The sequence below is a fragment of the Homo sapiens genome, chromosome 7 (genome assembly GCF_000001405.40).
Source record: "Homo sapiens chromosome 7, GRCh38.p14 Primary Assembly".
In the NCBI taxonomy this organism is placed as follows: Eukaryota; Metazoa; Chordata; class Mammalia; order Primates; family Hominidae; genus Homo; species Homo sapiens.
In genome coordinates, this window is record NC_000007.14 from 98,264,757 (window position 1) to 98,279,688 (window position 14,932).

The 14,932-nt window shown below is 49.4% G+C and overlaps 1 long non-coding RNA gene across 2 annotated transcripts; it reads right to left on the bottom strand.

The window, feature by feature from the left end:
- Positions 1 to 2,471: 2,471 nt before the first annotated feature.
- LOC124901705 (uncharacterized) lies at positions 2,472 to 6,207 on the bottom strand. Of its 2 annotated transcripts, XR_007060446.1 has the most exons (3): positions 6,101 to 6,207; positions 3,635 to 3,757; positions 2,472 to 2,605 (listed from the first exon to the last, which is right to left on the bottom strand). It is a non-coding gene; the product is annotated as an uncharacterized LOC124901705 (long non-coding RNA). The 2 variants fall into 2 exon arrangements; XR_007060447.1 differs by lacking the exon at positions 6,101 to 6,207 and having other exon boundaries at positions 2,472 to 2,795; positions 3,635 to 3,682.
- Between the last annotated feature and the right edge of the window lie 8,725 nt (positions 6,208 to 14,932).

A 14,932-nucleotide genomic window follows, 5' to 3' on the forward strand; every position in this document is an offset into this window, starting at 1 on the left:
GTATTTTTAGTAGAGATGGGGTTTCACCATGTTGGCGAGGCTAGTCTTGAACCCCTGACCTCAGTTGATCCGCCCACCTTGGCCTCCCAAAGTGTTGGAATCACAGTCGTAAGCCACTGCATCCGCCTTTTTTTTTTTTTTTTCTTTTGAGACAGAGTCTCGCCCTGTCACTCAGGCTGGAGTGCAGTGGCGCTATCTCAGCTCACTGCAGCCTCCGCCTCTCAAGTTCAAGTGTTTCTCATACCTCAGCCTCCCGAGTAGCTGGGACTACAGGCATACACCACCACACCCAGCTATTTTTTCTCTATTTTTAGTAAAGATGGGGTTTTACCATGTTCCCCAGGCTGGTCTCGAACTCCTGAACTGAAGCTATCTGCTTGCTTTGGCCTCCCAAAGTGCTGGGATTACAGCCATGAGCCACCACGCCCGGCCAGGATTACATTTTCCATACGAGCCCAGTGTATACATTACAGCAATTTTATTGGTGTAGTTTCAGGGAAGATAATTTATTACTCCCTCTGTAGGGATCGTAATCTGTGAGGGTCTTATCTCTGGCTCTGTTTAGTCTTCCTAATTATTTATTTATTAAAAACAATTTTATAGAGACAGGGTCTCACTATGTTGCCCTGGCTGGTCTGGAACTCCTGGGCTCTAGCCATTGTCCTGCCTCAGCCTCCCAAAGCAGTGGGTATAGGCATGAGCCACCACACCCAGCCTAGTCGTCCTAATTATTTACAGAAAAAAAAAAAGGCAGAAGTTGCCAGGCACGGTGGCTCATGCCTATAATTCCAACACTTTGGGAGTCCGAGGCGGGTGGATCACAAGGTCGGGAGTGCGAGACCAGCCTGGCCAACATGGTGAAACCCCGTCTTTACTAAAAATACAAAAATTAGCTGGGCATGGTGGTGGGCGCCTGTAATCCCAGCTACTTGGGAGGCTGAGGCAGGAGAATCACTTGAACCCGGGGGGCGGAGGTTGCAGTGAGCCGAGATTGTGCCACTGCACTCTAGCCTGGGCAACAGAGCAAGACTCTGTCTCAAAAAAAAAAAAAAAGCTGTATGCCATGTGTGAGTCAAGCCACCTAGCCACATTCCTCTCAAGGGTCAGAATAATTTAAAATTCCAACAGCTGTAAATTTGAATTCTTTCACGTACTGAACTGTCAAAAACCCAGTCATTGTCCCTTCGAGCTCATCAGCTCAGCAGCAGGGCTGGGATGGATGCCTGGGATGACATGAATTCCTCCTGTTCCTTCTGTCTTTCTTTAAACAAGTCACCAGGGGCCATATCCATGTCCCATGGTGGGTAAATGGTGTTGTGTCCCTACAGGCCTCCCGCTCAAGGCTCTCTCTGGCCAGGAATGTGGATTTCTTAATGCACAGTTTGACCAGCTCCTTCACTGCCAGGCATAGATCTTTAGGTACTGTAAGTGTTCAGTAAGCACCCGTGAAAGGTCAGAGATGGGGGCAGACGGTGGAAGTGATTCAGAGAAACAAGAAGGAGAATTTGATTGTGGTATGAAAAGGCTTCCACAAGCAGCCAAAGATAAAATATGCCTATTGATCTACAGGATGTCAAATTAAGAAAAACGGCCAGGTGTGGTGGCTCACGCCTGTAATCCCAGCACTATGGGAGGCTGAGATGGGCGGATCACAAGGTCAGGAGATCGAGACTGTCCTGGCTAACACGGTGAAACCCCATCTCTACTAAAAATACAAAAAATTAGCCAGGCGTGGTGGCGGGCGCCTATAGTCCCAGCTACTCGGGAGGCTGAGGCAGGAGAATGGCGTGAACCTGGGAGGCGGAGCTTGCAGTGAGCCAAGATCACACCACTGCACTCCATCCTGGGCAACAGAGTGAGACTCTGTCTCAAAAAAAAAAAAAGAAAAACATAGGCCGGGCACAGTGGCTCATGCCTGTAATCCCAGCACTTTGGGAGGCTGAGGCGGGCAGATCACGTAAGGTGAGGAGTTCGAGACCAGCCTGGCCAACATGGTGAAACCCCGTCTCTACTAAAAATAGAAAAATCAGCCAGACATGATGGCACATGCCTGTAATCCCAGCTACTCGGGAGGCTGAGGCAGGAGGATTGCTTGAACCCTGGAGACGGAGGCTGCAGGAGGTTGCAGTGAGCCAAAATCACACCATTGCACTCCAGTCTGGGCGACACAGCAAGACTGTCTCAAAAAATAAAAAATAAAAAATAATAATAATAATAATAACTTTAAAAAAAAAGGTTTGAGGCAGCTGTTCACTCCATCTGCCACATGGTGGCACAGCAAGTGGGCAACTATGAAGCAAGAGTGAGCCCTGACCAAGCACTGAATCTGCTGGGGACTTTATATTGGACTCCCCAGTCTCTAGAACCATGAGAAATAAATTTCTGTCATTTATAAATTACCCAGTCTAAGATATTTTGTTATAACATCCCAAAGAAACTAAGACACTGCACAACAAATGGTCACAAATTTATCAGCTCCCAACAGCACACATTTATTCTTCCACAGTTTCCATTGGCGAAGTCTGGGCACTGCTTGGCTGTGTCTTCTGCTCAGGGTCTCTTGGGGTTACATTCAAGGTGTTGGAGGGAGAGGCTGCATTCTCATCTGGAGGTGCGAGTGGGGAATAATCTGCTGTCAAGCTCGTCCAACTTGGCAGAATTCATTTCCTTGCAACCGATGATGGAAGGCACCCTGTGTCTTGCTGACTGCTGTCTTCCCTCAGGTCCTGGAGCCACCTACCATTTCCTGCCACATGACCCTCTCCAGGGGCTGATCACAACATAGTTGCTTGCTTCTGCAAGGCCAGCAGGACAGAGGCTCTAGCCTCCAAAAGGGCCAAATCCCTCTTCCAAGGGCTTCTATTAATTAAACCAAGCTCACCCAAGATATTCTCCCTTTTGATGAACTCAAAAGCAACTCAATTCAGTTAAGTACATCTGCCAAACCCTTTCATCTTTTCCATATTCTATTAGCTAGAAGGAAGATAGAGTTCAATTCAAGGAAAGGGGGTTACATAGGAGGCAGAGAGGCTGGGAGCCACCCAAGGGTCTGTCAGCCGCAGTGAAATGACTGGGAGAAAGATAATTTGATTTTGGTATGGAGAGGGAGCCATAGATAAATATGCCTACTGATCTCAAGGAAGTCAAATTAAGACAAACATAAAGGAGGCCAGGTGCACTGGCTCACGCCTGTAATCCCAACACTTTGGGAGGCCAAGGTGGGCTGATAACCTGAGATCAGGAGTTCGAGAGCAGCCTGGCCAACAGGGTAAAACCACATCTCTACTAAAAATACAAAAATTAGCCTGGCATGGTGGCACATGCCTGTAATCCCAGCCACTCGGGAGGCTGAGTCAAGAGAATTGCTTGAACCCGGGAGGCAGAGGTTGCAGTGAGCTGAGATCACACCGCTGCATTCCAGCCTGGGCGACAGAGCAAGACTCTGTCTCAAAAAGAAAAAGAACTGGTGGGCACGCTGGCACACACGTATAATCCCAGCACTTTGGGAGGCCGAGGTGGGTGGATCACCTGACCTCCTCACCTGAGGTTGGGAGTTCGAGACTGGCCTGACCAACATGGAGAAACCCCGTCCATAGTAAAAAATGCAAAATTAGCTGGGAATGGTGGCACATACCTGTAATCCCAGCTACTCGGGAGGCTGAGGCAGGAGAATTGCTTGAACCCCGGAGGCGGAGGTTGTGGTGATGTGAGATTGTGCCACTGCACTCCAGCCTGGGCAGCAAGAGCGAAACTCCTTCTAAAAAAAAAAAAAAAAAGACCAGCTTATGTGGAAGGTGCTTCTGTTGGGCACTCAGGGTCAACGGATGCAGGGCAGGGTGGTCCTGAATGGCACGCTGAAGGGCCAGGATCTCACACCATGGGCTGCTGAGAGCCACTGAAGGTTTTTAAGCAGGGAGAGCTGGTGGCTCAGCTGAGCACAGTCACTCAAGGAAGATTACTCTGATGGTGGAAGGGGTACGCAGAGATGGGAAGCTTGCAGGTGACAGGGGCTGGGACTAGTCTAGGTCATGAGATGGATAAGAAGGCTGTGTAGGCTTTAAAAGCAAGACACAAGGGCTAGGAGCAGTGGCTCACACCTGAATCCCACCACTTTGGCAGGCCAAGGCAGGAGGATCACTTGAGCTTAGGAGTTTGAGACCAGCCTGGGCAACACAGCAAGACCCTGTCTCTTAAAAAAAAAAAAAGCAAGACACCATTATTACACCTCAATAAGGCTGTACACACACACACACACACACACACACACACACACACACACACACACACGACAGACTACAAGTCGTAGTTCCTGGATACAGGAATACAGGAGCATTGTATGTTTCCATGGAAAAGGGTTTCTCAAAAACTAAAGAGGGGCCAGGCATGGTGGCTCACACCTGTAATCCCAGCACTTTGGGAGGCGTGTCTTGACCTTGTGGCCTCAAGCGATCCTTCCACCTCAGCCTCCTGAGTAGTTGGGACTACAGGTGCGCACCACCACACCTGGTTAGTTTTTGTATTTTTAGTAGACATGGGGTTTCACCATGTTGGCCAGGCTGGTCTCGAACTCCTGACCTCAGGTGATCCATCTGCCTTGGCTCCCAAAGTGCTGGGGTTACAGGCATGAGCCACCGTTCCCGGCCCATATCCCTTTTTCTAATGCTATATTATAAATGCAAAAAGGAATTGTCCCAGGAAAGTAAGGAAAATGATCCACTAAAAAGAATGAATGAATGATGATCTTTTTTTTTTTTAAATTTTTATTTTTTGTAGAGATGGGGTTTCACTGTGTTGCCCAGGCTGGTCTCAAACTCCTGGGCTCAAGCCATCCTCCCGCCTCAGCCTCCCAAAGTGCTGAGATTATAGGCATGAGCCACCAGGCATGGGCATTACAGGCATGAGCCCAGCCTGAGGTGGGGGTCTCTGAGGGGGGCTTGGTTCATGCAACTGAGGGGTCATTCCTGCCTACTCACGGATCAGGCTTTCTGCTCACCTCAACTGACCCTAAAGACACTTTCTTTTTTTTTTTTTTTTTTTTTTTGAGATGAAGCCTCGCTCTTATCCCCCAGTCTGGAGTGCAATGGCGCGATCTCGGCTCACTGCAACCTCTGCCTCCCGGGTTCAAGTGATTCTCCTGTCTCAGCCTCCCTAGTAGCTGGGATTACAGGTGCATACCATCACGCCCAGCTAATTATTTGTATTTTAAGTAGAGACAGGGTTTCACCATGTTGGCCAGGATGGTCTCGAATTCCTGACCTCAGGTGATCCGCTGGCCTCAGCCTCCTAAAGTGCTGGGATTACAGGCGTGAGCCACCACGCCTGGCCCCTGAAGACACTTTCTAGGGCCTCAGGGAAAGCCTGAAACTGGGCTGCTGGCTTGGGCATTTGTCACTTGGCAACTTGGGCATTGTCTTGTCACATTGTGTTCATGTGGCTGGTTCTCCGTTGCCAATTCTCATAAGTCAGGGTTTTTATCAAGGATTCCCTTGGCATTGGTATTAATCCAGCTTCTCCCCAAACCATCCTGGCTCTGAGGGGTGGTACCTGGCTGTGGGCGCCATGAGTCGCTGGCTAGCAGTCGGACTCCAGGCTCAGAACCTGAGAATCTTGGCGGTGGGGCAGGATTGTGAGGCCGCATTCTGTCCCCGGTGAGACCTGGCTCTGTCCAGTTCCTCCCGGGCCTCCCAACGCCCCCGATGGCTCCTTCCCCCTGGCCATCTGTCCGGTCCCTCCTTCATGTCGGTCGCTGGCCCACCGGTGACTGCTTGGCTTCTGCTGGAGTTTAAGGGGGCTTTCCGCTGCCCCGTACTGAGGCATCCCCGCATCATTCCTGGGCGTGTCCCCAAGAACAGCCATGGCCTCCACAGTGCAAGCTGAAGGTAGGAGCCCCCGGAACAGACCAGGGAGGCAGTGGAGGGTGGGCTGGGCCAGAGAGAGGATGGGGGCTACCTGCTGGGGAGAAGGGATGGGGGAGTGGAGAGGGGACCCTCCTGCCACAGTGGCATCGGGAGGCCCTGGGGGCTCCTTCCCTCTGTCTCTTCGCCCATGGCAGCCTCTCTTCTTTGGAGAACCCCTCCCCACTGCTGCCCCCCAAGCTCACATGTGCTGCAAAGCCAAGACTCTATGAAACAGCATCTCCAAGCCTCGGTGCCTTCTCCTCCACTCTGCGGCTTGAAGCAGAACCGAGTTCTGGGCACTGCTGGCAAAATAGAATAATGACGGAGAGGAGGAGACCCAGATCCTTATAGGCCCTGAGAGGGTCCCCCCAAACATCATTGCTTGGGGGTGAGTCCTGAAAGCCGCTCCCTTACTGACCAAAGGAAGTGACCTCTCCATCTCAACCTGGGAGTGGTCATTTTTCTGCTTCATCCTAACCAAAGATGATGCCTCCTGTCACCAAACTCAGAGCTCTGGTGACTGGGGACAAGTTTGCCTCAAATTCCACTTCAATTCTCTCTACCATCATAGATTATTTCAATTTTATAATGTTTATGTATTCAGGGGGTTCAAGTACAGATTTCTTTTTTCTTTTTCTTTTTTTTTTTTGAAACGGAGTCTCGCTCTGTTGCCCAAGGCTAGAGTGCAGTGGCGCGATCTCGGCTCACTGCAATCTCCGCCTCCTGGGTTCAAGCAATTCTCCTGTTTCAGTCTAACAAGTAGCTGGGATTACAGGTGTGTACCACCACACCCAGCTAGTTTTTGTATTTTTAGTATAGATGGGGTTTACCATGTTGGCCAGGCTGGTCTTGAACTCCTGACCTCAAATGATCTGCCCACCTTGGCTCCCAAAGTGAGGGAATTACAGGCATGAGCCACCGTGCCCGGCTTTTTTTTTTTTTGAGATGGAGTCTCGCTCTGCTGCCCAGGCTGGAGTGCAGTGGCGCGATCACAAATCACGGCAGCCTCAACCTCCCAGCCTTAAAACACCTCAGCACCCTGCGTAGCTGGGAACACAGGTGCACATCATCATGACTGGCTAATTTTTAAATTTTTTTTTGTAGAGACGGGGTCTTGCTGTGTTGCCCAGGCTGGTCTCAAACTCCTGGGCTCAAGCAATCCTCCTGTCTTGGCCTCCCAAAATGCTGGGATTACAGGCGTGAGACACTGCAGCCAGCCAGCCACAAGGACAGATGCCTTACATGCAGGTATTGCATAGTGCTGAAGTCTGTGCCTTCAGTGCACCTGTCACCAGAATCGTGAACATTGTACCCAACAGGTGATTTTCAGACCTCACCCCCCTCTTGCCCTCCCACCTGTTTCAGTCTCCAATGTCTATTCTGCCACTCAGTATGTCTGTGGGTACCCATCGTTTAGCTCCCACATATAAGTGAGAACATGCCATCATAAATTAAACCACAGCTAACAGATCCCATAGGGAAAGACCTTCTGTCAGTCTGGATAACTTTTTTTTTTTTTTTTTTCTGAGATGGAGTCTTATTCTGTCATCCAGGCTGGAGTACAGTTGCGCAACCTTGGCTCACTGCAACCTCCACCTCCCAGGTTTAAGCAATTCTCCTGCCTCAGCCTCCTGAGCAGCTGGGATTGCAGGTGTGCACCACCACACCCAGTTAAGATTTGTATTTTTAGTAGAGACGGGGTTTCACCATGTTGGCGAGGATGGTCTTGAACTCCTGACCTCAGGTGATCCACCCGCCTCGGCCTCCCAAAGTGATGGAATTACAGGCGTGAACCACCTCGCCTGGCCAACAATCAGGATAACTTTCATTGTCATCTGATAGAGAATAGAAAAGTCACAGAGGTGCCTCATTTTCCCTGAATGACACTTGTAATCTCCAAAACTATCGAGTGAGATCCCAAAGAGCATCAGTCATCTCCACTGGCATCTTCCCTGCCATCTAGGCACTCTCAATTTATTTTATTTTATTTATTTATTTTTTATTTATTTTATTTTATATTTTATTTTATTTTATTCATTTTATTTTATTTTACTTATGAGACGGAGTCTTGCTCTGTCGCCCAGTCTGGAGTGCAGTGGCGCAGTCTCTGCTCACTGCAAGCTCTGCCTCCCAGGTTCACGCCATTCTCCTGCCTCAGCCTCTCGAGTAGCTGGGACTACAGGCGCCCACGACCGAACCCAGCTAATTTTTTGTATTTTTAGTAGAGACGGGGTTTCACCATGTTAGCCAGGATGGTTTCGATCTCCTGACCTTGTGATTCGCCCGCCTCGGCCTCCCAAAGTGCTGGGATTACAGGCGTGAGCCACCGTGCCCGGCCTATTTTATTTTTTAAAATTTTTTAATTTGTGGAGACAGAGTCTAGCTCTATCGTCCAGGCTGGAGTGCAGTGGTGTGATCTCAGCCCACTGCAACCTCCGCCTCCCGGGTTCAAGTGATTCTCCTGCCTCAGCCTCCCAAGTAGCTGGGATTACAGGTGTCTGCCACCATGCCCAGCTAATTTTTGTATTTTTAGTAGAGACGGGGTTTCACTGTGTTGGCCAGGCTGGTCTGGAACTCCTGACCTCATGATCTGCCCACCTCGGCATCCCAAATTGCTGGGATTACAAGCATGAGCCACCGTGCCTGGCTTCAGTTTATTTTTCTTTTTTCTTTATTTTTAAAAGTAGAGATGGGGGCCAGGCTCGGTGGCTCACGCCTGTAATCCCAGCACTTTGGTAGGTCAACGCAGTTGGATTACCTGAGGTCAGGAGTTCAAGACCAGCCTGGCCAACATGGTGAAACCCCATCTCTACTAAAAATACAGAAATTAGCCAAGCGTGGTGGTGGGTGCCTGTAATCCCAGCTACTCAGGAGGCTGAGGCAGGAGAATCGCTTGAACCCAGGAGACGGAGTTCAAGGTGTAGTGAGCCGAGGTTGCACCATTGCACTCCAGCCTGGGCGACAGAGTGAGACTCCATCTCCAAAAAAAAAAAAAAAAAAGAGATGGGGTCTTGCTATGTTGCCCAGGCTGGTCTCGAACTCCTGAGCTCAAGCGATCCTCCCGCCTCAGCTTCCCAAAGTTCTGGGATTACAGGAGTGAGCCACCGCACCTGGCTGCTCTTGATTTTTTAAAATGAGGAATGGCCTTATGTCATGATCCAGACATATTTCTAGCCTGAAGAGAGGATGCCCTTTATGGTCTAGGAACCAGAGCTTGAGTCTGGAGGTGGGAGAACCTAGGTTTGAATCCCCGCTTAGCAGTCAAATGATTGTGGGCACATGACCTTGAGTTCAATTAAACATTTAGTGAGCTCCTACTACGTCTGAGGCATTGTGGATACAGAGATAAGGCAGTGTCCTGGCCCACAAAGGGCTCAGGGGACCTGCTCAATGAACAGCCCAGCTCCTTCCTCATTTCTAAATCGGGGCTGATAATATCTGTCCATCATGGCTCTGGGGTTAATCGTGACGACAGAATATGGAAGTATGAATCACAACACAGTACTCAACACAAAAGAGAGCAGTGGGACATGCTGCTGCTTTCTCCCTTGAAGTTCCATTTATTTATTTATTTAGAAACAGGGTCTTGCTCTGTCACCCAGGCTGGAGTGCGCTGGTGCAATCATAGCTCACTTCGGCCTCCACCTCCTGGGCTCAGGTGATCCTCCCGCCTCAGCTTCCTGAGTAGCTGGGACTACAGGTGCATGCCACCATGCCCGGCTAAGTTTTTATTTTTATTTCTTATTTTTGAGACAGAGTCTTGCTCTGTCACCCAGGCTGGAGTGCAGTGGCGTGATCTTGGCTCACTGCAACCTCTGCCCCGTGGGTTCACGCAATTCTCCTGTTTCAACCTCCCAAGTAGGTGGGATTACAGGTGTCCACCACCATACCTGGTTAATTTTTGTATTTTTAGTAGAGATGGGGTTTCACCATGTTGGCCAGGCTGGTCTTGAACTCCTAACCTGCTCGGCTTCCCAAAGTGCTGGGATTACAGGTGTGAGCCACCACGCCTAGCCTGGTTTTTATTTTTTGTACAGATCTTGTTGCCCAGGCTGGTCTTGAACTCCTGGGCTCAAGCTTTCCTCCCTCCTTGGCCTCCCAGAGTGCTGGGATTACAGGCATGAGCCACTGTACCTGGCCTTGAAGTTGCATTTAGAAATGATGACTCTGTCATTCTGGAAGGTGATGAGATAAAAATGCCCCCAAAGAATAGATATGATTATAATTCGGAAAGGATGCTTGAGATCTCTGGTTTTAGAAAGCCTGGCTCCCTGAGGTTAACTGACTTGCGCCTGTCCCCCAGGGAGGAGATAGAACAGTCTGAATGAGAACCACTTGTTCTTTCAATCACAACTCACTGCCCTCGACATCCCAATTTGGCTGATGTTTTATTGGATTCCCCCCTGCCACCGATCAAGAAGTCTTGGAAAAGCACCCTGTTCTGTTACTCTGAATATAGCAGAGATAAAAGGTGTCCACTGAATTCTGCGTGTGTTGCCAGAAATGTGTTCACATCCACGTTTTAGCCTGGAGGTATCGGTGCATCTGTTAATCCTGCAGCTGCTTCTCAGGGGTTTTGAGTACAGCAGGTTGGAAACTTACTTAGCCAGAAACTTGCCATTCCGAATTTGTGCTTTTGTTAATTTTTTTTTTCAACCTCCATCTCCCAGGATCAAGCCATTCTCCTGCCTCAGCCTCCCGAGAAGCTGGGATTACAGGCATGCGCCACCACTCCCAGCTAATTTTTGTATTTTTGTATTTTTTATTTTATTTTATTTTTTTTGAGATGGAGTCTCATTCTGTCGCCCAGGCTGGAGTGCAGTGGCGCAATCTCGGCTCACTGTAAACTCTGCCTGCCAGGTTCAAACAATTCTCCTGCCTCAGCCTCCTGGGGTAGCTGGGACTACAGGTGTGTGCCACCACGCCTGGCTAATTTTTTTTTTTGTATTTTTATTAGAGACAGGGTTTCACCATGCTGGCCAGGCTGGTCTCAAACTCCTGACCTCGTGATCCGCCTGCCTCGGCCTCCCAAAGTGCTGGGATTACAGGTGTGAGCCACTGTGCCCAGCCCTAATTTTTGTATTTTTAATAGAGACAGGGTTTCACCATGTTGGCCAGGCTGGTCTCGAACTCGTGACCTCAAGTGATCCGCCCACCTTGGCCTCCGAAAGTGCTGGGATTAAAGGTGTGAACCACCGTGCTTTCTTTTTAAATTTTTTGTAGCGGGCAGAGTCTCACTATGTTGCTCAGGCTGGTCTCGAACTCCTGGCCTCAAGCAATCCTCCTGCCTTGGCCTCCCAAAGTATTGGGATTACAGGCATGAGCCACCATATCTGGCCCAGAATTTGTTCATTGTTCTTGTGGCAAGTGCTTGAAAATGTGGATTACAAAAGAAATGCTTTCTATGTTTCATTGTGTGAGTTAAGTATGTTCTACCAGGCAGATTTATGTAGTGAGGACTACCCCATTAGAGAATGAAGAGTGTAATATAGATTTAAATATGTAAATATATACATAGAGGATATATATATGTATATACACACATGACTTGTGATATAATTTGTCTTGTCACTCAGCAAGAGAAATTTTTGTCTGTGTCATGTAAAAACTTATGTGCTTAAGTTATAAAATATTTAGAAATATTTGCCTAGTAGAACCATAAGGCTTACCTCAGGCTAACCATAAAACTCGGAACTTAAAGTGTTTATCTAAGATAAACATTTAGCAAATATTCAGCAAATATTTGGCAAGGGCCTTCCCTGAGCCAGGCGCTTGTAATTGGTTACAGCCTTGGATTTTGAAATTATATTTGCTTCCTTTTTTTTTTTCTTCTTTTTCTTTTTGGTCTTAGTTCCTACCATGTGAGATACTTGCTGCTTGTGTGTTCCCAGAAGCTCACGTGGTGGATTATCAGCCTTTCTCAAGAGCATTCAAGAAAGGGCATGATCCTGGTTTAGGTTTCCTCTGGTACACTGGAGGAGAGTCAATGGTGACTGTCAAGGTTTCCGGAACAAGACATCTCCCTCATCCCCCAGGCGGGGGCCAGGACCTCCACTGTCCAGCCAGGTCTCCTTGCTGAGTGCCCCCAGTGAAAACATTCACACAGAGCAACAAAAATCACATATATTCATTTGTATGGGAATGGCAGTACTAAAAATAATTTTTTAAATGTCTGCATGAGGCCTGGTGCGGTGGGTCACACCTGTAATCCCGGCACTTTGGGAAGGCCGAGGTCAAGAGTTCGAGACCAGCCTGGCCAACATGGTGAAACCCCATCTCTACGAAAAATACAAAAATTAGCTGGGTGTGGTGGCGCACGCCTGTAATCCCAGCTACTGGGGAGGCTGAGGCAGCAGGAGAATCACTTGAACCTGGGAGGTGGAGATTGCAGTGAGCGAAGATCATGCTGCTGCATTCCAGCCTGGGTGACAGAGTAAGACTCTGTCTCAAAAAAATAAAAATAAAAATAAATGTCTGCATAATACAAAAGTGGATAAAAGGCCGGGCGCAATGGCTCACTCCAGTAATCCCAGCACTCTGGGAGGCCAAGGTAGGAGGATCGCTTGAGGCTAGGAATTCAAGACCAGCCTGGGCAACAGAGGGAGACCCCATCTCAAAAAAAATTAAAAAAATTAGCCAGGTGTGGTGATGGCACACCTGTAGCCCCAGCTACTTGGGGAGGCTGAGGTGGGAGGTCACTGAGCCCGGGAGGTTGAGGCTGCAGTGAGCTATGAATGCACCACTGCACTCCAGCCAGGCAAGCAGAGCAAGACCCTGTCTCTAAAAAAAAACAAGAAAGAAATCCAAAAGTGGACTGTATCCACTTTTGTATTTGTATTCTGTATTCTGTATTTTGTATTTTGTATTCTGCTCTGTAGCAGAATTTCGGAAATCCGAAACATATGCATATTTATGTATTCCAAGTCTTCTTCAATAGGAATGCATTTCTCTTAAAACCAACAAGAGGCCGGGCATGGTGGCTCACACCTATAATCCCAGCACTTTGGGAGGCCGAGGCAGGCGGATCACCTGTGGTTGGGGGCTCGAGACCAGCTTAACCAACATGGAGAAACCCCATCTCTACTAAAGATATGAAAAAATTAGCTGGGTGTGGTGGCACATGCCTGTAATCCCAGCTACTCGGGAGGCTGAGGCAGGAGAATCGCTTGAACCCAGGAGGTGAGCCTGGTGAGCCGAGATCGTGCAACTGCACTCCAGCCGGGGCAATGACAGCAAAACTCCATCTCAAAAAACAAACAAACAAAAAAACAAACCAAAACCAAACCAAACAAAAAATCCAGCAAGAGGCGGCATACTTCTCTTGTATACTTGGCATGGAGGCAGTGTGGGGTGATCCTAGGATTAAGTGTGGTACATCTGTTGTTTGAAGACCCACCTCTACTGGTTGGGAGGCTTTGGAAACGTATGGAGGCCCTCTGTGCTTCAGTTTCCTTTTTTTTTTTTTGAGGCAGGGTCTCGCTCTGTCGCCAGGCTGGAGTGCAATGGCACAATCTTGGCTCACTGCAACCTGTCTCCTGGGTTTAAGTGATTCTCGTGCCTCAGCCTCCCGAGTAGCTGGGACTACAGGCACGTGCCACCACATTCGGTTAATTTTTAAATTTTCTGTAGAGATGGGCGGGGGGCTGGGGGGGGTCTCGCTATGATGCTCATGCTGGTCTCGAACTCCTGGCCTGTAGTGATCCTCCCACCTTGGCCTCCAAAAGTGCTGGGATGACAGGTGTGAGCTACTGTGCCCCTCCCTTCAAAGACATTTTTCTAATACTGAAATCCGATGCTCACACTCCCCTGTTCAAACTCTACGCAGTTCCCCAATAGGCTCTTACAGGATGCTATCCCAACTCCAATGCCCGGCACCGCCTCCCCTGGCCAGCCCCACCTCTGCCTTCTAGAGACTCTTCCAGGGCTCTGGCCACACCAAGTGACAAGTCCTGGCATATAATGGGCCACTGTATACTCTTTGGGATTGCAGTTCACTCTGCCTGGAATGCTCTGCCACTGGTCCCTGGGGCTGACTCGCCACTGGCCTTCCAAGCCAGGCTGTGGCCCTGGAACTCTCCAGGCACCCAGGCTCATCACCACCCTGTGTGTGGCAACTCCAACCCTCTTGCCATACAAAGCTCCCTCCACCACAGTTACTATCTGGCTCCCTGTCTGCTACTTGTGTCCCTGTCATCGTCCTCTTTGGCCCCCCAGGGCTTGCACACAGAGCCCGGGATAGCAGTTCCATCTTCCGCACACTGCACGTTTGGAGGGGCAGGAACTGCTTTGTGTCTGAGGGCAGCACTGGTCAAAGCCATGCCGGGACATCCCAAAGTCACACCCCAGCATTCACAGACTTGGAGTTCCAAACCCAGGGGCATTGCTGGGGCAAAAACAATTGTTGGAAGAGAAGGGGACCAGGAGCTGTGGATTTTGTAGGGTTTATCAGGAAATGCAGGCAAGCAGTGAAGGGACAATTAGCCATGAAATGGAAGGGAAATGTGCCAGCTTTTGTTGATCTGATAGGAAAGGAGATCACCGGGCCTGCAGCTGCTACTCCTCAGCAGTTTGCAAGGCTGGGAGGAGAATCCAGGTGGCCCCTGTTGACCAAGTGTTAGGAGGGTTGACGTGAGCCACATCTCTTCATGGTTGATGAGGCACGAGGCTGCACCCCAGTATTCTCTGGCCAGGGGCTGTCACCCTGTGGTGCCCGGACAGCTGCCCCCAGGAACAATGGCCTCCTCACTGCCTACCAGAGCCTCTACTGGCTCCAAAGCCCTTGGCCACTCCTGGCCAGTCTCCACTCTTTTTTTTTTTTTTTTTTTTGAGATGGAATCTCACTCTGTCATCCAGGCTGGAGTGCAATGGCACGATCTTGGCTCACTGTAACCTCCGCCTCCCAGGTTCATGTGATCCTCGTGCCTCAGCCTCCAGAGTAGCTGGGATTACAGGTACCCCCCACCATGGCCAGCCAATTTTTGTATTTTTAGTAGAGACGGGGTTTCACCATGTTGGCCAGCTGGTCTCGAACTCCT